The following is a 15,733-nucleotide window of genomic DNA, read 5'->3' on the forward strand; positions in this document are numbered from 1 at the left end:
TGGGATTACAGGCATGAGCCATGGCACCTGACCAAGGTGAGTGTATTTAACCTCATTTTCAGGCAAGGAAACAAAAGACAGAAAAGTTAAGTAGCTTACTTAAGGTCACAGAGCTAAGTGTGGTGCCAGGATTGAAAACCTAGTTCTTTATTGCTTTAGCACAAGCTATTTCCACTATACTCTGTCATGTTCAGAGAATGTTGATGTCCATCAGTGGATTCTAAATTTTGAAGGATGGAGATACTGCCTTATTCTGTACATCTGCTTTAGCACCCAAGCTCTTGCTTGGTGAAAAATTAATAGTAAACATTCATCTTTTGAGCATCTTCAAATATCCCCTTTAGAATGACATTCAATTATTAGGTCAGTAACCCCAAGAGAAAACGGTTGTTTGAGTGTATATACTGTATTACAAAATAAGGGGTGAATTCAAAGGAAAACATAAGATGCAATTCGTGCCTCCAAGGAGGTTGTAGGGAAGAGGGGTTATGAATGTATGTAAATAGAAGTTGGTGTGCGTGTGTGTTTATAAACAGAATTGTCAGACCAAACATTATTTTGGAAGCAGTAAAAGTAAACTAGAATCTGGCCTAGTCATGTCCCAGGACACCTCTTTCAAGTCCTGAAACATCTTTGTAAGACTGTAATGTGTGTTTACATCCTAGGTAATCACTGTGGCCCACTGTTGAAGAGCTGTGGCTGTTCTTACCCTTCTAGCTTAGATAAACTTATAAGCACAACCAGACTACATATATGAAGCTGAAGAGACCTTGTCTTTTTTTAACGAGCTTTTCTTCCCGATAGGAGTGACTATTTCTTTTCTTCTTCCACATTTTCAGGTTTTAGTGTACTTGTGATTGCTACCCACTTATCACTATTAAAGTCTACTCAGGAGAGAATCTGAGAAACACTCTCAAATTAAGTTGAACATGATGGATAAGTAAAGTATTGTGAAAGTTCACTCTCATGATTTCTAATGGTGAAACCTGGCAGGGTGACTAATCTTTGACGAGAAGGTTATCACTTATAATCTTTCATATATTGAGATCATTTGTAAGAAGCACCCAGCACATTGCTGAACACAAAGTAGGTATTAAATAAATGTTGGCTTCCTTTTCTCCTACTCATCCTCGCTCTTCTTTTTAATATACCTTTAAAATGATGCCACAGAAATGGCCACCCAATCTTCTATATTTAAGGTCAGTTCTTGCATTAGGAAATTCTATAGGGGAAGTATGTGAAGTATGTGTAGTCAGTCATTAAATGCTTGGGCTCTGGCCACAGATTGTTTAGGTTTAAATCCCAGTTTCCTCTTTTATTATTAATTGTGCAACTTGCTTGGGAAAACATGAAACTTGTTTTTCCTCAGGTTCATTATCTGTAATATATAGTGAATGAAGAAGTTTCCTGTCCCATGAAGGTGTTGTAAAGATTAAAAAAGGCAAATTAGGCTGTGTATTTGTCATAATAATTGGCATATATGGTAAGTGACCAACAACCATAAGGTATTATAAAATTGTTATAAAATGATATGAGCTATCATTGAGCAGCATGAAAGAAGAGCTTCACTGTTTCACCTACTATCACCCTGGCCCATTAATCTCTTTCCTGTTCCTGACATTTCAGAGATACGTTTAGGATTTCAATCATGACCTTAAGCCACATTTGAACAATTTTCTGGTGGATAAGTCCTCATTCCCACATTATGTATGTACCTAGATGCAAATCCTGAATATCATGTCGCAATTAGTGCATCTGGACATGCTTGCTAACTGTGTTAAAGCTCTGAATAATGGTAAAGTTTTATTTCTACCAAAACAAATTTGGGCTGTAATGTTTTATGATAAAAATCTGTGGTCTTCCTATGTACATGTGTGTGTACATGCTTAAAATGCAATGTTATAGTTAAATGTAATTCATTAAAAGTATGTAACTCCAGTGGCTACTTAGTTTGGCTACTTGGTTTGTAGATTTCTGCTTTCCTGTTTCATTGTTAAACAGGTCTAGAAGTTATTATTTCATGAAACTAATGTGAGGAAAAAGACTATGTTGATATATAAGTGACATTATATAAATACATGAGGGATGATTTGATTAGAAGCAGTATTACACAGTGATAGGAGTAATGGTTTAGAACTAGACTCAGGTTTGAATCTTAGCTCTATCATTATAGGCATTTACTTAACTTTTCTTGTTTGCTTAACTGAAAACTGAAGATAATAACACCTATTTACATGGTTGTTATAAGGGTTATATGAATAATGTCTGGCAAATAGTAAGAACTCAAGTAACTGTTTCACTCTTTCCAGAAGGAGATTGGCTGAAAAATATTTGGAGTCTCCTCCAGCCATATTCCTTGGTCAGCTTCTATGATCCTCTTTGGAGCTTAATTCTTAATCCCTTTATTTTCACTTGCTTGTTGATAACAAAGAAGAACTAATTATTAATTTATTTCAAAATGCATGTATTATATTTGATGGGCCACACTAACAGTTATAAACCAAACAACAGATTGGGAATGGGGAAGTGGATGTGGTGAGTTCAATCACATGTCTGGGAAAAGTCAATAGTGAAGACAGAGTCTCACAATTTTTTGTCATAATGGAGAGATGAAAACACAGGTAGAGGATTTCAAACAACAGAGTGGATGGTGAGTTAAAAATGCTGAAATTCTTTCCTGGTGTCTAACTTAATGCAATGTGGTTTATCTCTTTGCTCTTTTCTCTACTATTCAAATTTAGGATAATAAAGATTAAATGTTTCTAAATCTTACTTTACAATATCAAGAAAAAAAGGTATGCTTTTGCCCACGGAAGGGCAAAGCAGAGCTATGAAAACCTGCTGAACACATTCTTTATTTTCAACACAGGTTCTTGTCTTTCCATCATGAAATGCACATTTTATTTGTACTGTATTTGGGTGACCACAAGTCAACAACAAGATAATTCACAAGACCCTTGCCTTAGATGTGTCGGCAATAAAGTAATCAGGCCAAAATTTTTACTTTCCTTTGAATTTTTCAATTCAAACACAATGTATGCTTGCTTTTACACAGTAGGGTTCAGGGATTAGAGGGTTGGCTCTTTAAAAACCGTCAGAGACACAGGCAATCCTACACAAAATTCTCAGAAGGAAGGCGCCTACGCCTGGGAATGCCCAGATGCCCCTCAGAGAGTTGAAGATGGCGTTTCTCTGAGTCAGGTCAAAGTTAACACATTACCTTCGCTTCAAAGACTGCTTGGCTTCCTTTCGGTGGATTAGTCAAGATGTTTTGCTGACTGAGACTAGGAAATCTATAGGAGGGCGGGTTAGTTTACATTGTTCCTTGTCATTATCGCTAAAACACTCCAAAGCCTTCCTTAAAAATGCGCACTGGGCTAAAAAGGATAGACAAGGAACACATCCTGGGCCGGTAATTACGCAAAGCATTATCTCCTCTTACCTCCTTGCAGATTTTTTTTTCTCTTTCAGTACGTGTCCTAAGATTTCTGTGCCACCCTTGGAGTTCACTCACCTAAACCTGAAACTAATAAAGCTTGGTTCTTTTCTCCGACACGCAAAGGAAGCGCTAAGGTAAATGCATCAGACCCACACTGCCGCGGAACTTTTCGGCTCTCTAAGGCTGTATTTTGATATACGAAAGGCACATTTTCCTTCCCTTTTCAAAATGCACCTTGCAAACGTAACAGGAACCCGACTAGGATCATCGGGAAAAGGAGGAGGAGGAGGAAGGCAGGCTCCGGGGAAGCTGGTGGCAGCGGGTCCTGGGTCTGGCGGACCCTGACGCGAAGGAGGGTCTAGGAAGCTCTCCGGGGAGCCGGTTCTCCCGCCGGTGGCTTCTTCTGTCCTCCAGCGTTGCCAACTGGACCTAAAGAGAGGCCGCGACTGTCGCCCACCTGCGGGATGGGCCTGGTGCTGGGCGGTAAGGACACGGACCTGGAAGGAGCGCGCGCGAGGGAGGGAGGCTGGGAGTCAGAATCGGGAAAGGGAGGTGCGGGGCGGCGAGGGAGCGAAGGAGGAGAGGAGGAAGGAGCGGGAGGGGTGCTGGCGGGGGTGCGTAGTGGGTGGAGAAAGCCGCTAGAGCAAATTTGGGGCCGGACCAGGCAGCACTCGGCTTTTAACCTGGGCAGTGAAGGCGGGGGAAAGAGCAAAAGGAAGGGGTGGTGTGCGGAGTAGGGGTGGGTGGGGGGAATTGGAAGCAAATGACATCACAGCAGGTCAGAGAAAAAGGGTTGAGCGGCAGGCACCCAGAGTAGTAGGTCTTTGGCATTAGGAGCTTGAGCCCAGACGGCCCTAGCAGGGACCCCAGCGCCCGAGAGACCATGCAGAGGTCGCCTCTGGAAAAGGCCAGCGTTGTCTCCAAACTTTTTTTCAGGTGAGAAGGTGGCCAACCGAGCTTCGGAAAGACACGTGCCCACGAAAGAGGAGGGCGTGTGTATGGGTTGGGTTTGGGGTAAAGGAATAAGCAGTTTTTAAAAAGATGCGCTATCATTCATTGTTTTGAAAGAAAATGTGGGTATTGTAGAATAAAACAGAAAGCATTAAGAAGAGATGGAAGAATGAACTGAAGCTGATTGAATAGAGAGCCACATCTACTTGCAACTGAAAAGTTAGAATCTCAAGACTCAAGTACGCTACTATGCACTTGTTTTATTTCATTTTTCTAAGAAACTAAAAATACTTGTTAATAAGTACCTAAGTATGGTTTATTGGTTTTCCCCCTTCATGCCTTGGACACTTGATTGTCTTCTTGGCACATACAGGTGCCATGCCTGCATATAGTAAGTGCTCAGAAAACATTTCTTGACTGAATTCAGCCAACAAAAATTTTGGGGTAGGTAGAAAATATATGCTTAAAGTATTTATTGTTATGAGACTGGATATATCTAGTATTTGTCACAGGTAAATGATTCTTCAAAAATTGAAAGCAAATTTGTTGAAATATTTATTTTGAAAAAAGTTACTTCACAAGCTATAAATTTTAAAAGCCATAGGAATAGATACCGAAGTTATATCCAACTGACATTTAATAAATTGTATTCATAGCCTAATGTGATGAGCCACAGAAGCTTGCAAACTTTAATGAGATTTTTTAAAATAGCATCTAAGTTCGGAATCTTAGGCAAAGTGTTGTTAGATGTAGCACTTCATATTTGAAGTGTTCTTTGGATATTGCATCTACTTTGTTCCTGTTATTATACTGGTGTGAATGAATGAATAGGTACTGCTCTCTCTTGGGACATTACTTGACACATAATTACCCAATGAATAAGCATACTGAGGTATCAAAAAAGTCAAATATGTTATAAATAGCTCATATATGTGTGTAGGGGGGAAGGAATTTAGCTTTCACATCTCTCTTATGTTTAGTTCTCTGCATGTGCAGTTAATCCTGGAACTCCGGTGCTAAGGAGAGACTGTTGGCCCTTGAAGGAGAGCTCCTCCCTGTGGATGAGAGAGAAGGACTTTACTCTTTGGAATTATCTTTTTGTGTTGATGTTATCCACCTTTTGTTACTCCACCTATAAAATCGGCTTATCTATTGATCTGTTTTCCTAGTCCTTATAAAGTCAAAATGTTAATTGGCATAAATTATAGACTTTTTTTAGCAGAGAACTTTGAGGAACCTAAATGCCAACCAGTCTAAAAATGCAGTTTTCAGAAGAATGAATATTTCATGGATAGTTCTAAATACTAATGAACTTTAAAATAGCTTACTATTGATCTGTCAAAGTGGGTTTTTATATAATTTTCTTTTTACAAATCACCTGACACATTTAATATAGGTTAAAAAATGCTATCAGGCTGGTTTGCAAAGAAAATGTATTACAAAGGCTGCTAAGTGTGTTAAGAGCATACTCATTTCTGTTCTCCAAAATATTTCATAAGGTGCTTTAAGAATAGGTATGTTTTTAAAAGTTAAGTTCCTACTATTTATAGGAACTGACAATCACCTAAAATACCAATGATTACAAACTTCCTTCTGGCCTTCTGGACTGCAATTCTAAAAGTGTAAAAAACATATTTTCTGCATTAAGTTAGGCAGTATTGCTTAGTTTTCAAAGTGGTAGGCTTTGGAGTCAGATTATTTTGATTCAGATCCTACATCTACTGTTTAGTAGCTCTGTTGCCTGAGGCAGGTCCCTTAACATCTCTGTGTGTGACTTGACCTTTAAAATTTGGAGACTGTCATAGGGGTTAATCCCTTGAGAAAATGAATGTGAAAAGTTAGCCTAATGTTAACTGCTATTATTATGGATTACCATATTTTCACATTCATCACAGTACATGCACCTTGTTAATATAAGATGCTCAATTCATCTTTGAGTATAATTTTGTGACTCTCAATCTGGATATGCAATGAGTGGGCCTGTATGAGAATTTAATTTATGAAAAATTGTGTTTCACATGGCCTTACCAGATATACAGGAAACACGTCACATGTTTCTATTGTATGTTGTTAAATGCCTTAGAATTTAACTTTCTGAATAGGATCCCTTCAGTTTGAGAGTCATAAAAGAGTAAAATTATTATGGTATGAGTTATAGATTGTATTGAATATCTCTTTATATGTCTAGGTTTTGTCATTGGAAAACCAAAAAGTTTGGAAAAAAAATCTAAGTTATTTCTTACTTTCTTAATTTTGTGTGGATTTCACATCAAGTATAAAATTTGAAGAACATCTGAACTATCATAATCCATATATATATATAAAATAAACATAATCTAAGAGAGAATTTCACCATGAAAAATTCAGGTAGTTCATGACTATCAGAGCAAACAAGTACATTAAATTGAAACTTTTATGAAAATAACATTTATGAAATAGGAAGCTATTTTTAAACTAGAAGTGATATATTAGCATATAATTTATAATTCATATACAAGTGGGATTGATTTATAAATGGTCACCAACAGAGATTGTGCTATTTAATTTGGGAAAATTTTTTAAATTTACATTTTCTCACAACTTTTAAGGTAGTTATTCAGTTTGTTCCTCTCTGTCTCTTCTCTCATGCCCTGAATTTTTCATATTTCGTTTAGTTGTAAGAGTGTATATCAAACCGTGTGTCACATGACATAACTTGAATTTTCGTCGTGATATCTGTGCTATGTCTAGGTCTATACTGAGGAACTGTGGGAACCCCACAGAATCCAAGTATACAGTGCCACTGATTTCTTACAAGGGATGTGGGGTCTCCTGTAAACTCTGCAGTTAGTCTCAAGTAAGACCAAAGAGTAAAATATTGTTAGGATCTAAGGTGGAAATTCAGCAAAGAATCACATAGTCTAAGTCTCGAGTTTAACAGTAAGATAATTTGAGATACTTTTGTAATTATTAAACACAAAGTAATGAGAGATTTTAAAACAAACAAATACACCTGAATTTATATATCAGAATAGGTATGGTGGTTCAAAATAGCTATCTAATAAAAACCACACTCCTATTCTAAACATTTGCCTTTGATCAAAATAATTTTGGGTCTCTTATTATGAAATTGCCTTTCTAAATAATACATAAATTTCTTCTCATAAGTATATATTAGCCACATTATTTTATTGTTATTGTTTTATATTCATAGCTTGCTTTAGATTAAAAATTATATTACCCAGACTGGTCTCTTGGACTTGCTTCCAAGTGACTTTTGACTGTATCACAAAATCAAATTCACTCTGAAAATATAAAGATTTTTCATCATAATTTCCTTTGTTAACAGCCAAGTGCTACCTAATTTTAGGTGTTTTCATTAAAAAAAAATGCATTGCAAACTTTAAAGACAATTCTTTTGTTTGTTTGTTTTTAAAAGACAGAGTCTCACTCTGTTGCCCAGGCTAGAGTGCAGTGACACAATCATAACTCACTGCAACCTCCACCTCCTGGGCTCAAGTGAGCCTTCCATCTTGCCTCACGAGTAGCTGGGTCTTCAGGTGTACAGGTGTGTACCACCATGCCTGGCTAACTTTTTTTTTTTTTAAGTTATATAGAGACAGTATCTCACTATGTTGCCCAGGCTGCTCTTGGAGCTCCTGGCCTCAAGTTATCCTCCCACTCAGTCTCCCAAAGTGCTGGGATTACAGGCGTAAGCCACCTCACCCTGTCAGCCTAAAGACAGTGCTTAATGAAGAGAAATATAAGTGCTTTGAGCAATGGAAGTATAATTAAAATTATACTATGAAAGATTTATAAAGATGACCATTTTGAATGGGACCACACTTATTTGGTTATATAAATTATGATACACTATTAAAAATTCATCATGATGATTTTGTATTTACATTTTATTTACATGTTTGCAATTTGTGAGGAAAGCTAAAATTATGGCTAAGCCATAAATATTTTTGCAGTTTGTTGAGGGTGTTTGTAAAAGTGTTGCCAAGGAAGACCAGTTGGCTACCCAAACAAGGGTTTAGTCTAGGTCTGATCAATACATACACATTATCTCAGGTTTGTCTATCAGAAAAACCTTAGGTTATCCAAATCAAAATAAAATAGATGCATAAAACAAAGGCCAATATGTGTTGAACAATTATATTGTGATATACAACTGCCAAGCATTCCCGATTACCATGACTCCATTTAGTCAGTCCATGGGCAAATGCCATCAATGAGGACAGCCCAGGGTTTCCATATTCTCTCTTGGCTTTACATCCTATAGGAATTGGAGGGGCCCACCTCTGGGATAGGAGCCCTTCTGTCTTGAACAATGTTGTCTGAACACTAACAAATGTTGACTTTCTACACCAGTCCCTCAATAGTCTTTTCTATTTATCCTTTTGCTGACCATGTTTTGTTATTACACAGTTGAGATTTTTCAGCTGGGAATCTGTGTTAATTTTGTATTAATTTTGATTAGCTTAACTCTCAGAGTTCTAAAAGTACCTCCTGTACCTGATATATGACAAAAATTATAATTACATTTATTTATATATAAAATATCTTTGTATATGTAAAATATCTTTGTATATATAATTATATAATTGTTTCTTTTAATTTTGCAAATTTTAAAAAGTTCTCCTTTGTTTTGAAGTTTATTCCTATAGTTTTTTATATGCTAGTTAAATTATTAATCACTTGATTCAAGTAATATTCTTATATACTTATAAGGAATAGTGTAGTTTTAATATTTAATTCCTTGCTAAAGAGAGAAGTGGAATCTATTTTTCTTAGCTACTTCATCAATATTTTATGTTTGATGTGACAGTCAAAATATCCCTCAGAGCTAACTGTTACACTAGGGAAATCACGGTTTTCCAGTTTTCCATTTATGTGTTATGGGAGGGAGTGGAACTTAGTGTAATAATATTCAATACATAAATGTTAACACTTGTTTAAAGGTCCTTGAGTGAGTACTGCTATAAAATGCATTATTATTGCTAGTGTCATTTCACAAGAGCCTATAATTTCAGTGTGATAGAGCTACAATATAAGTATAGTATTGCAAAACCATCAGGAAGGGTGTTAACTATTTAGCATGCAGTTATGTGTTGGTTGTCAAAACGTTAAAAACATCTCTGACTCAGCAGCAATTTTGGCAATTTTGATCCTGAGGCATCTGTGTAGGGCATCTTCCTGGAGAAAAACCTCTGAGATGCAATGAGGTCAAAAGGGGAAAACAGACTATGATAAAGATCAAGTTGTTTGGAGATCTTGTAGAAAGATTAATTTACAAATATGTCAAGTGCATTATCATGGAGGAAAACATTGCTATTTCTGTTGGTTCTCTTCAGAGCTCTAGAATCAATTTACCACATAGTTGTTTCAGTGTGAAATTAGCATTACAGAGTGGCTTTACGGCTTTACTGTAGGGCATTGTGTCAGCAAAGAGCTTAGGCTTCTTTTAGCAAGAAGCTTGTAAAAATTTAATTTACTCTTAGATTGCTTGATGTAGAGAATTACATTCCTACAGAGCTCTGAAAAATCTTTTTTCAGAGTTTTTCACAGCTGTATTCAAGTTGCAAGGCTTGTCAACTTTGCTATTTTTCTGTGCAGCTCTGTTAACTTATTATTATCTTTTGACATAAATTATGATTCCAAATTGTAAAGCTCTGGATGTCAGGGCCTTTTCTAATTTGTTTAGTATGATATTCAGACCATTTCAAGACTCTTCCGTGGAACAATTTAATAAAGATTTTTTTGTGATGTTAATGAGTTCATGGTGATCAACCCTAGAGACCTGTGTCTATTGTAGATCGATGACATTCAACAGTCCTGCAGTGCTGGCATCATTTTGATAAAAAGGGGTCAAAGCAAGTGGGACTGTGGGCAGATTTTTAATGCTTAGAACAATTATTCCATCGAAGTTTTCTTGTGTCCCTTCTGCCTTAGCCTTTGTAGGATAGCATGCTTGCTAATTTCTTGCTCATGGGGTAAGGAAATGAAGATTTTTGCTAGGTCCGTAGGATTATTAGGACTACTCAGGCCTGAAGCTATGCCTGGATATAGCCAGAAAACTCTCCCATAGCTTGCTCCAAGGAGCTGAGATACAGCAGTACTTCCTTTGTAGGTCATGATTCTGGGTAACCTGGAAGATGACCTCATTCATATTCTGTATTCTATGTGAGACGTTAAGAAGGTAGAGGTGGCCAAGAAGGAAATTGTTGCTGCCTTTATGGAACAAATTATCTGAAACCCAGCTTTCTCGAGGGCTTCATTGAAGTACTCAACTGGGGCACTTAACCCAGTCTAAGGCTGGTCAAGGAAGGCTTGCTGGGGGAAGTGTCTTTTGTATTCACACCTAAAGGAGGTTATTCAATTAGAATTATCCAAAGAGGGTAGGGATGGGCTAGGAAAAATTTAAACAGGTAGTGTGGAGGACTGACAGGATAAGTAAGCATGGCACCTTCAAAATATCCTGAGAAGTTCCCTATGACGGGAACATAAAATATGTGACAGAGATTTGTGGGAGATGGGTCTGGAAACTCTAGCAGGGGCCAGATCGTAAGGGGGCTTTGTAGGCTTTGTAGGCTTTGTTTGGGCTTTATCATACTGGAAGTGAAAAGCCATGGCTTTTAAACAGGAGAGGGACATAATCAGTTCATATACTGTTGCAGTTTTGTAAAAGAAAAGATGAGCTGAAAGAGTGGCCATGGTGGAGGTGGGTGGGGTGGGGGGGAGGGGGCGGGGAGAGAGAGAGAGAGAGAGAGATTTGAAAGACATTTAGGAGGTAAAATCAACTGGTTTGGTAATCAATTAGTAGTTGAAGGTGAAGGAAAGAGAAGAGTTAAGGATAACATCTATATTTGTTGATTTGGATAATAGAGGGGACAGTGGTGCTGCTTATTGAATGAGAAAATTTAATCGGAGAAGAAGGCATGGAGCAGGAGTGCAGACCTATGTGACTCTACTTCTCTCAAAACCAGAAACGGAAATGATGTATATGGCTCAGGGTTAGGTAATATGGTTATTTGAAAATGTATTAAAGTGATTTAGAGCTTAGTCTTAGGTAAGAGATATAAGATGTCTGAGGTGACAGTTTTATAAATATGTAGAGTGCCCACTTGTTTGGCCTTATTGTGGCATAGTGTGACCTGAGAGTGTTAGGAAGAAGCAGCTGAGTTCTAGGGACAGTACTGGTTAAATTCTACTTAGAAATTATACTTAGAACTCTCCTATATAACCTGCTAACTGATGTCTGAACCTCCTGATAACTTCACTCCTTTAGGCAGTGCTTTTCACATCACGGGACACAACATATGAGAGATCATAGAAATTCAATGTGGTATGAAAATCTGCTTGGGACTTCAGATATTGTCTCCAGTGATTGAATAAAAATAGGAGCTCACCTACTATGATGAGGTTTCTGTGTGTGTTAAAAGAAGGTTTTCATTACTTTTGAAAAGGTTATGTATCCTTGTTTTATGTTAAAACTTTGAGCTTTGTTAAATATGCAGAGTTCTCTTTCTTAGCATGGACTACAGAGGTGCAACTACCTCCTACCTGACTTCACATCTACTCCCAAATGCCTAGTGAAGGCTTAATAATTTCAAAAAGGGACTCTAGAATTTCATTTGATACCAGTCAGACAAATGTGTGAAAATTAAGCATAATAGGCAGAATCCCAGGGGTACTGACAGCTGTATTAAGAGGTGATTCAAGGGCTAAACCTTAGAGTCCAGCATTGGTTATGGGTGTGACAAGAAAATGAAGCCTATGTTGGCTGGGATTAGCAACCACAGTTCTAGAGGAAGCAAGGTGGAGAAACTATATAGGGGGCTCCCTTTGTACGTTTTATTTATTTTAAACATCTCTATAAACTCTAGAAATTAAAACAACAATACCAACACAAAAGCATCACTTTTTCGACCAAAGACCATTGCTATACTTTTTTGTGTAAAGGGCTAGATAGTAAATATTTTCAGCTTTGTGGGCCACATAAGTCTCTGCAATAGACAATATGCAAACAAATAAGCATGGCTGTGTTTCAATTAAACTTTATTATGAACATTAAAATTTGAATTTCATATAACTTTTACATGTTGCAAAATATTCTTTATTTAAATTCTATTGCAATATGCTTTAAAAGATACAGTTTTTAGTCTTTCTTAGTTTAAAATAAAATCTAGAAAAAATTTTAAGTCTTCTATAACTTTTTTTCGGTAACTGAATAATTTTAAAAGTAAGTGAAACATTTAGACATGCAAAATGGACTTTTCAGAAGAAGAAAATGGTAGCTTAACAGTTATTAGATTATTGTCCAGAATAATTTTTGACTTATAAGTCTCTGTTGACCATTTCATTGCCTCTTTTTTTGGAATATGCATCTTTTAATGTGTCCTTCAAGGCAAAGGCTCTATCTTATCTATCTTGTGTCTTGCATTTTCCCAGGGCAATGTTTTTCACAATTTTTTTAAAAAACAATACTGTAATCAATTTTCAAATAAAATTTTCCATGGGACCGCAGTGTATACAAATAGCAGTGACAATAAAAGATAATAACTCTCCCATAAATACAAAGAAACAGTTAACCTAGTGCTCTAAAGTAAAGGCTACAGTGATTTTGTATAACATTTATATGTAATTTTCTTGATCCTACATGGTTGTGTTTTTCACAGTGTTATGTTTCTGAAATCGAGATGCCTTTTATAATTGATGTCAAAAGAAACTTGTCAGCCACAAGGCCCAGGAATAAGTTGTAATATGGGAACTTAGCAATACATAAAGGTATATATACTCCTGTGACCTCAGCTGAATTATTTGCATTGGTTGCATCCCACAAGGTTGACTCTTAAATAAATTTAGTTTGTTGCTTGAAATTTCTTGGGATAAATTACTTTGTGATGTAGTTTTGAAAAAAAAACAGGTAATATTTAGTCTGAAGTTTGTCTGACATACTAAGCAATGTAATTAAAGTAGAAGTCGCCTAAGCTCAGCACTTTATTATGCCTTGAAATTATACTGCCTGTCCTACAGGTGAAGGTGTTATGAATGCAGTTTGTCACTGTAACTCTATTCATAGCTCTGAAAGGCTGAGAGTGACTCAGAAGAATATTTTTGCTCTGAATATGAAGAACGCTTAGACTAAAACTTTAATTACGATGCTGAAGAAGAAAGTGGTAGGTGATTGCATGAATAAGTATGTAATATTGTTAATTTCTAAAAACTGTGTATAGTTAATGTAGTGCTTCTTTTTGGAAAGGCTATTGTTAAATTGATGGTAAATTCTATAACCAATATCACCTTAAAGCAAGTACGCATGATAAAGTATTATAAAACCATGATAATATCATATGTGGCTTATTATTGTTCCCTGAGTGTTGTACAACTCTGTTATGCTGTGATGAAACCTCATGCAAACAGGTATGTCAAAGATATGATGGGCTGTTAACTGAGCTTGGCCCACATATGGTGTAGTGACATGCTCACTAATGCAGTGCAGAGATAACCAATAACAGATCATAACAGGTTTAAATATGTGCAAGGAGATGTCAGCAGAAGCTTTCCTACATAGTGAATACTAAACAAGCCTGACAGCCCAGGATCATGTTCGGATCAATCTAGTGTGCTAAAATTAACATATAGTCCTACATTTGAGAATGTGTGATTTTCTTGGTTCCTGTCTATAAAATAATATTTTAAAATACATACATTTCAAATCAGAAGTTGGTGAATTCACTGAAATATTTCTAGAGAACACTAGGTATTGGGGCTCATAGTGTGAAAACCACTGACTTAATTCTTCCCCCATCTTGGTTGTTCCTGATCTTCCCTTGTGTCCCCATTCCAGCCATTTGTATCCTTAGAAAATGATCTCATATTCTACTTCATCTTTATCTTCATTGTCAACTGTCAGGTAGCAATATATGATGGAAGAAGCATGTACTTTGGAATCAGACAGACCTGGCTGGAATCCTAACTCTGTCACTTATTAACAATGTGATCTTAGGCAATTTACTTAATCTCTCTGAACCTCAGCTACTCTCGTCAGTACAATGAGTTATCCTTATCTTTACATGGCACAGTATTATTATGATATCAAAAATTCATTGAGTATTTACTCTGCATATTAGTCAAGGTTCTCCAGAGAAGTAGAACCAATGATACACACACACACACACACACACACACACACACACACACACACAATTTATTATAAGGAATTGACTTACATGATTATGATGGCTAACAAGTCCAAAATCTGCAGTATGGGTCAGCTGGCAGGAAACCCAGGAGAGTCAATGTTCCAGTTTGAGTCTGAAGGCAGTCTGTTGGGGAATTTCGTCCTTCTCTGGGAGGCCAGCCTTTTTGTTCTATACAGGCCTTCAACCGATTGGATGAAGTTCACCTTTATTAGTGAGGGCAATCTGCTTTAACCAAAGTTTACTGATTTAAATGTTAATCTCATCCAAAAACACCCACCCAGTTGACACATAAAATTAACCATCACTCTCTGTAAGCACTTTCTATGCATTAAGTGATAGCAAATAATGCCAGACATAGGGCGTCTTTAATAAATGGTAAGCACTGTTATCAGCAACAACAGGATTATTATAATTAGCACCTTTTCATCTTTCTGTCTGGGCTCTGAGAAAGTACCTCTCTTCTCTAAATTTATCCCTCCTTTCCTATGAATTAGACCCAGTGCTTTCTCTGAATTATGAAGGTCACACTCCTACAAATGCCCCTTCCCAATTGCACATCTGTCGGCTTTCTTTGCCATTGACTTTTATCTCTAGCTTTTAAATTTACAGGCATATGTCAGTTAACAATGGGAATGCGTTCTGGGTAATATGTCCTTAGGCAATTTTATCGTTGTGAGAATACTATAGAGTATACCTACACAAGCCTAGATGTCGTATAGCCTACTACACACCTAGGCAATATGACATAGTCTTTTGCTTCTAGGCTACAAACCTGTACGGCTTGTTACTATACTGAATACTGCAGGCAGTTGTGACACAGTGGTATTTGCATATCGGAACATGTCTAAACACAGAAAAGGTGCACTAAAAATACTATGTAGTGATCTCATGGGACCACCATTGTATATGCAGTCTGCTGTAGACTGAAATGTCATGCAGTGCATAACTGTATCTTAAATACTCAAAGTATCACCTTTGTTTGTTTGTCCCCTTGTGTGCATCATCCTAACGTGGAATTTCTCTGTTGATTAGGGCCAGCGTATTAGTTTGCTAGGGCTACCATAACAAAATACCACAAATTTGGTGGCTTAAATAACAGGAATTTATTATCTTATGGTTTTGAAGACTAGAAGTACAAGATCAAGGTGTTGGC

General features: G+C 36.8%; 1 protein-coding gene across 1 annotated transcript in view, besides 43 other annotated features; it reads left to right on the forward strand.

Annotated features, from left to right (window-relative positions):
* Positions 299-1,513: a DNaseI hypersensitive site, noted in NCBI's record as "DHS-3.4kb or -3.4 kb DHS observed in airway cells; the nucleotide coordinates are approximate for this feature". NCBI's record gives the evidence for it as "EXISTENCE:in vivo cleavage assay evidence [ECO:0001075][PMID:21895967]".
* Positions 299-4,322: a biological region, named in NCBI's record as "CFTR promoter region". NCBI's record gives its function as "regulatory_interactions: CFTR | LOC111674464 | LOC111674470 | LOC111674473 | LOC111674475 | LOC111674476 | LOC111674477 | LOC111674478 | LOC111674479".
* Positions 452-1,474: an enhancer, noted in NCBI's record as "-3.4 kb enhancer fragment used in the reporter constructs". NCBI's record gives its function as "activates a basal CFTR promoter in transfected 16HBE14o- cells, and cooperates with the CFTR -35 kb and intron 23 enhancers" and the evidence as "EXISTENCE:reporter gene assay evidence [ECO:0000049][PMID:21895967]".
* Positions 1,460-1,498: a protein binding site, noted in NCBI's record as "CArG box 2 SRF-binding site". NCBI's record gives the evidence for it as "EXISTENCE:protein binding evidence [ECO:0000024][PMID:16170155]".
* Positions 1,803-1,841: a protein binding site, noted in NCBI's record as "CArG box 3 SRF-binding site". NCBI's record gives the evidence for it as "EXISTENCE:protein binding evidence [ECO:0000024][PMID:16170155]".
* Positions 2,004-3,946: a silencer, noted in NCBI's record as "-2215 to -242 XbaI/BssHII fragment used in the pBLCAT2 reporter constructs". NCBI's record gives its function as "represses a HSV thymidine kinase promoter in transfected Caco2 cells" and the evidence as "EXISTENCE:reporter gene assay evidence [ECO:0000049][PMID:1722205]".
* Positions 2,326-4,289: a promoter, noted in NCBI's record as "1963 or 2 kb promoter fragment used in the pGL3B1963 reporter construct". NCBI's record gives its function as "drives high-level reporter gene expression in transfected 16HBE14o-, Caco2 and Beas2B cells" and the evidence as "EXISTENCE:reporter gene assay evidence [ECO:0000049][PMID:19855085, PMID:30296588]".
* Positions 2,391-2,791: a DNaseI hypersensitive site, noted in NCBI's record as "DHS-1600 or -1600 DHS observed in HT-29 cells; the nucleotide coordinates are approximate for this feature". NCBI's record gives the evidence for it as "EXISTENCE:in vivo cleavage assay evidence [ECO:0001075][PMID:1717947]".
* Positions 2,538-4,289: a promoter, noted in NCBI's record as "1750 promoter fragment used in the pGL3B1750 reporter construct". NCBI's record gives its function as "drives high-level reporter gene expression in transfected 16HBE14o-, Caco2 and Beas2B cells" and the evidence as "EXISTENCE:reporter gene assay evidence [ECO:0000049][PMID:19855085]".
* Positions 3,091-3,491: a DNaseI hypersensitive site, noted in NCBI's record as "DHS-900 or -900 DHS observed in HT-29 and T84 cells; the nucleotide coordinates are approximate for this feature". NCBI's record gives the evidence for it as "EXISTENCE:in vivo cleavage assay evidence [ECO:0001075][PMID:1717947, PMID:7688000]".
* Positions 3,141-3,161: a protein binding site, noted in NCBI's record as "-1111 to -1090 oligonucleotide that binds NF-kB (p50 subunit) in complex with RelA (p65 subunit)". NCBI's record gives its function as "mediates up-regulation of the CFTR promoter by interleukin 1 beta in Calu-3 cells" and the evidence as "EXISTENCE:protein binding evidence [ECO:0000024][PMID:11114294]".
* Position 3,436: a transcriptional cis regulatory region, noted in NCBI's record as "c.-887C>T or rs34465975 polymorphism, where mutation of C to T results in reduced CFTR promoter activity". NCBI's record gives its function as "affects activity of the CFTR 2 kb promoter in Caco2 and 16HBE14o- cells, where the T allele has mildly reduced activity compared to the C allele" and the evidence as "EXISTENCE:site-directed mutagenesis evidence [ECO:0005528][PMID:30296588]".
* Positions 3,502-4,288: a promoter, noted in NCBI's record as "787 bp or 245 promoter fragment used in the pGL3B245 or pGL2B 245 reporter constructs". NCBI's record gives its function as "basal promoter that drives reporter gene expression in transfected 16HBE14o-, Caco2 and Beas2B cells" and the evidence as "EXISTENCE:reporter gene assay evidence [ECO:0000049][PMID:8626632, PMID:19855085, PMID:11856314, PMID:19897727, PMID:22671145, PMID:23689137, PMID:24440874]".
* Position 3,511: a transcriptional cis regulatory region, noted in NCBI's record as "c.-812T>G or rs181008242 polymorphism, where mutation of T to G results in reduced CFTR promoter activity". NCBI's record gives its function as "affects activity of the CFTR 2 kb promoter, where the G allele has moderately reduced activity in Caco2 cells and mildly reduced activity in 16HBE14o- cells compared to the T allele" and the evidence as "EXISTENCE:site-directed mutagenesis evidence [ECO:0005528][PMID:30296588]".
* Positions 3,690-4,322: a promoter, noted in NCBI's record as "632 promoter fragment used in the pGL3B632 reporter construct". NCBI's record gives its function as "drives reporter gene expression in transfected 16HBE14o-, Caco2 and Beas2B cells, approximately twice as active as the 245 fragment (787 bp) basal promoter" and the evidence as "EXISTENCE:reporter gene assay evidence [ECO:0000049][PMID:19855085]".
* Positions 3,714-3,731: a nucleotide motif, noted in NCBI's record as "nucleotide_motif; C-PMR2 purine/pyrimidine mirror repeat element that is thought to form a non-B DNA conformation and bind a 27 kD nuclear factor on the purine-rich strand". NCBI's record gives the evidence for it as "COORDINATES:motif similarity evidence [ECO:0000028][PMID:7513081]".
* Positions 3,791-4,191: a DNaseI hypersensitive site, noted in NCBI's record as "DHS-200 or -200 DHS observed in HT-29 cells; the nucleotide coordinates are approximate for this feature". NCBI's record gives the evidence for it as "EXISTENCE:in vivo cleavage assay evidence [ECO:0001075][PMID:1717947]".
* Position 3,913: a transcriptional cis regulatory region, noted in NCBI's record as "c.-410G>C polymorphism, where mutation of G to C results in reduced CFTR promoter activity". NCBI's record gives its function as "affects activity of the CFTR 2 kb promoter in Caco2 and 16HBE14o- cells, where the C allele has moderately reduced activity compared to the G allele" and the evidence as "EXISTENCE:site-directed mutagenesis evidence [ECO:0005528][PMID:30296588]".
* Positions 4,004-4,039: a nucleotide motif, noted in NCBI's record as "nucleotide_motif; C-PMR1 purine/pyrimidine mirror repeat element that is thought to form a non-B DNA conformation and bind a 27 kD nuclear factor on the purine-rich strand". NCBI's record gives the evidence for it as "COORDINATES:motif similarity evidence [ECO:0000028][PMID:7513081]".
* Positions 4,064-4,071: a transcriptional cis regulatory region, noted in NCBI's record as "area of NFR1 (nucleosome-free region 1) element mutated in the NFR1mut reporter construct". NCBI's record gives its function as "important for promoter activity" and the evidence as "EXISTENCE:site-directed mutagenesis evidence [ECO:0005528][PMID:21948798]".
* Positions 4,067-4,106: a protein binding site, noted in NCBI's record as "b3WT C/EBPbeta-binding probe". NCBI's record gives its function as "important for CFTR promoter activity in cooperation with USF2, and is antagonized by YY1 competitive binding" and the evidence as "EXISTENCE:protein binding evidence [ECO:0000024][PMID:23560079]".
* Positions 4,070-4,108: a protein binding site, noted in NCBI's record as "CFTR-CArG-like element that binds SRF, WT oligonucleotide". NCBI's record gives its function as "important but not sufficient for CFTR promoter activity, and may be functionally antagonized by binding of YY1" and the evidence as "EXISTENCE:protein binding evidence [ECO:0000024][PMID:16170155]".
* Positions 4,070-4,108: a protein binding site, noted in NCBI's record as "102A oligonucleotide that binds YY1 when the A allele is present at rs982968807". NCBI's record gives its function as "antagonizes the positive effect of C/EBPbeta on CFTR promoter activity through competitive DNA binding" and the evidence as "EXISTENCE:protein binding evidence [ECO:0000024][PMID:10652351, PMID:23560079]".
* Positions 4,075-4,115: a protein binding site, noted in NCBI's record as "-94G WT probe that binds Sp1 with higher affinity when the G allele is present at rs73717525". NCBI's record gives its function as "positive regulation of CFTR promoter activity in cooperation with USF2" and the evidence as "EXISTENCE:protein binding evidence [ECO:0000024][PMID:17678620]".
* Positions 4,075-4,115: a protein binding site, noted in NCBI's record as "-94G WT probe that binds USF2 with higher affinity when the G allele is present at rs73717525". NCBI's record gives its function as "positive regulation of CFTR promoter activity in cooperation with Sp1" and the evidence as "EXISTENCE:protein binding evidence [ECO:0000024][PMID:17678620]".
* Positions 4,150-4,275: a promoter, noted in NCBI's record as "-102/+24 maximally active core promoter fragment used in the pCF102L reporter construct". NCBI's record gives its function as "drives reporter gene expression in transfected HT-29 cells" and the evidence as "EXISTENCE:reporter gene assay evidence [ECO:0000049][PMID:1709163]".
* Positions 4,172-4,231: a protein binding site, noted in NCBI's record as "-151 to -92 oligonucleotide that binds CCAAT displacement protein/cut homolog (CDP/cut)". NCBI's record gives its function as "represses CFTR promoter activity and is associated with histone deacetylation" and the evidence as "EXISTENCE:protein binding evidence [ECO:0000024][PMID:10075672]".
* Positions 4,184-4,209: a protein binding site, noted in NCBI's record as "inverted CCAAT element oligonucleotide that binds C/EBPdelta". NCBI's record gives its function as "mediates induction of CFTR promoter activity by cyclic AMP" and the evidence as "EXISTENCE:protein binding evidence [ECO:0000024][PMID:7499410]".
* Positions 4,184-4,209: a protein binding site, noted in NCBI's record as "inverted CCAAT element or Ybox/CRE oligonucleotide that binds CREB1". NCBI's record gives its function as "mediates induction of CFTR promoter by cyclic AMP" and the evidence as "EXISTENCE:protein binding evidence [ECO:0000024][PMID:7499410, PMID:8943230]".
* Positions 4,184-4,209: a protein binding site, noted in NCBI's record as "inverted CCAAT element oligonucleotide that binds ATF1". NCBI's record gives the evidence for it as "EXISTENCE:protein binding evidence [ECO:0000024][PMID:7499410]".
* Positions 4,184-4,212: a protein binding site, noted in NCBI's record as "inverted CCAAT or proximal Y-box oligonucleotide that binds the CBF-NF-Y complex". NCBI's record gives the evidence for it as "EXISTENCE:protein binding evidence [ECO:0000024][PMID:10075672]".
* Positions 4,194-4,220: an enhancer, noted in NCBI's record as "27 bp cftr(CRE) fragment used in the cftr(CRE)tk-luc reporter construct". NCBI's record gives its function as "activates a basal thymidine kinase promoter in transfected forskolin-stimulated JEG-3 cells" and the evidence as "EXISTENCE:reporter gene assay evidence [ECO:0000049][PMID:8943230]".
* Positions 4,194-4,220: a protein binding site, noted in NCBI's record as "27 bp cftr(CRE) oligonucleotide that binds ATF-2". NCBI's record gives the evidence for it as "EXISTENCE:protein binding evidence [ECO:0000024][PMID:8943230]".
* The window catches only part of CFTR (CF transmembrane conductance regulator), a 188,641-nt gene continuing 177,160 nt past the window's right edge, over positions 4,253-15,733 (forward strand). The window contains exon 1 of the mRNA NM_000492.4: positions 4,253-4,375. Coding sequence (NP_000483.3) covers positions 4,323-4,375 — 53 coding nt within the window. The 5' untranslated portion in view covers positions 4,253-4,322. The remainder of the gene's footprint in view (positions 4,376-15,733) is intronic.
* Position 4,315: a transcriptional cis regulatory region, noted in NCBI's record as "c.-8G>C or rs1800501 polymorphism, where mutation of G to C results in reduced CFTR promoter activity". NCBI's record gives its function as "affects activity of the CFTR 2 kb promoter in Caco2 and 16HBE14o- cells, where the C allele has moderately reduced activity compared to the G allele" and the evidence as "EXISTENCE:site-directed mutagenesis evidence [ECO:0005528][PMID:30296588]".
* Positions 13,683-14,438: an enhancer, noted in NCBI's record as "BS0.7 or intr1 fragment used in the reporter constructs". NCBI's record gives its function as "activates a basal CFTR promoter in transfected Caco2 cells" and the evidence as "EXISTENCE:reporter gene assay evidence [ECO:0000049][PMID:8626632, PMID:11448937, PMID:20360044, PMID:21895967]".
* Positions 13,683-15,733: part of a biological region, named in NCBI's record as "CFTR intron 1 enhancer", that runs on past the window's edge. NCBI's record gives its function as "regulatory_interactions: CFTR | LOC111674463 | LOC111674470 | LOC111674473 | LOC111674475".
* Positions 13,823-13,861: a protein binding site, noted in NCBI's record as "CArG box 4 SRF-binding site". NCBI's record gives the evidence for it as "EXISTENCE:protein binding evidence [ECO:0000024][PMID:16170155]".
* Positions 13,823-14,923: a DNaseI hypersensitive site, noted in NCBI's record as "DHS1 or 181 + 10 kb DHS observed in select cell types; the nucleotide coordinates are approximate for this feature". NCBI's record gives the evidence for it as "EXISTENCE:in vivo cleavage assay evidence [ECO:0001075][PMID:8626632, PMID:10448643, PMID:19449463, PMID:19897727]".
* Positions 14,248-14,376: a conserved region, noted in NCBI's record as "conserved_region; 185 + 9.9 kb intron 1 region conserved in human, cow and pig". NCBI's record gives the evidence for it as "COORDINATES:sequence alignment evidence [ECO:0000200][PMID:12782133]".
* Positions 14,263-14,438: an enhancer, noted in NCBI's record as "7/8 enhancer fragment used in the reporter constructs". NCBI's record gives its function as "activates a basal CFTR promoter in transfected Caco2 cells, and cooperates with the intron 11 and +15.6 kb CFTR enhancers" and the evidence as "EXISTENCE:reporter gene assay evidence [ECO:0000049][PMID:8626632, PMID:19449463, PMID:19897727]".
* Positions 14,347-14,378: a transcriptional cis regulatory region, noted in NCBI's record as "32 bp core enhancer region deleted in the pGL2B-245/BS0.7delta32 construct". NCBI's record gives its function as "necessary for activity of the BS0.7 CFTR intron 1 enhancer" and the evidence as "EXISTENCE:deletion mutation evidence [ECO:0005510][PMID:11448937]".
* Positions 14,359-14,393: a protein binding site, noted in NCBI's record as "FP1 HNF1-binding probe". NCBI's record gives the evidence for it as "EXISTENCE:protein binding evidence [ECO:0000024][PMID:19449463, PMID:23325854]".
* Positions 14,364-14,373: a transcriptional cis regulatory region, noted in NCBI's record as "HNF1 motif mutated in the 7/8mut reporter construct". NCBI's record gives its function as "necessary for activity of the 7/8 CFTR intron 1 enhancer" and the evidence as "EXISTENCE:site-directed mutagenesis evidence [ECO:0005528][PMID:19449463]".

This window comes from Homo sapiens, chromosome 7 (genome assembly GCF_000001405.40).
Source record: "Homo sapiens chromosome 7, GRCh38.p14 Primary Assembly".
Lineage (NCBI taxonomy): Eukaryota > Metazoa > Chordata > Mammalia > Primates > Hominidae > Homo > Homo sapiens.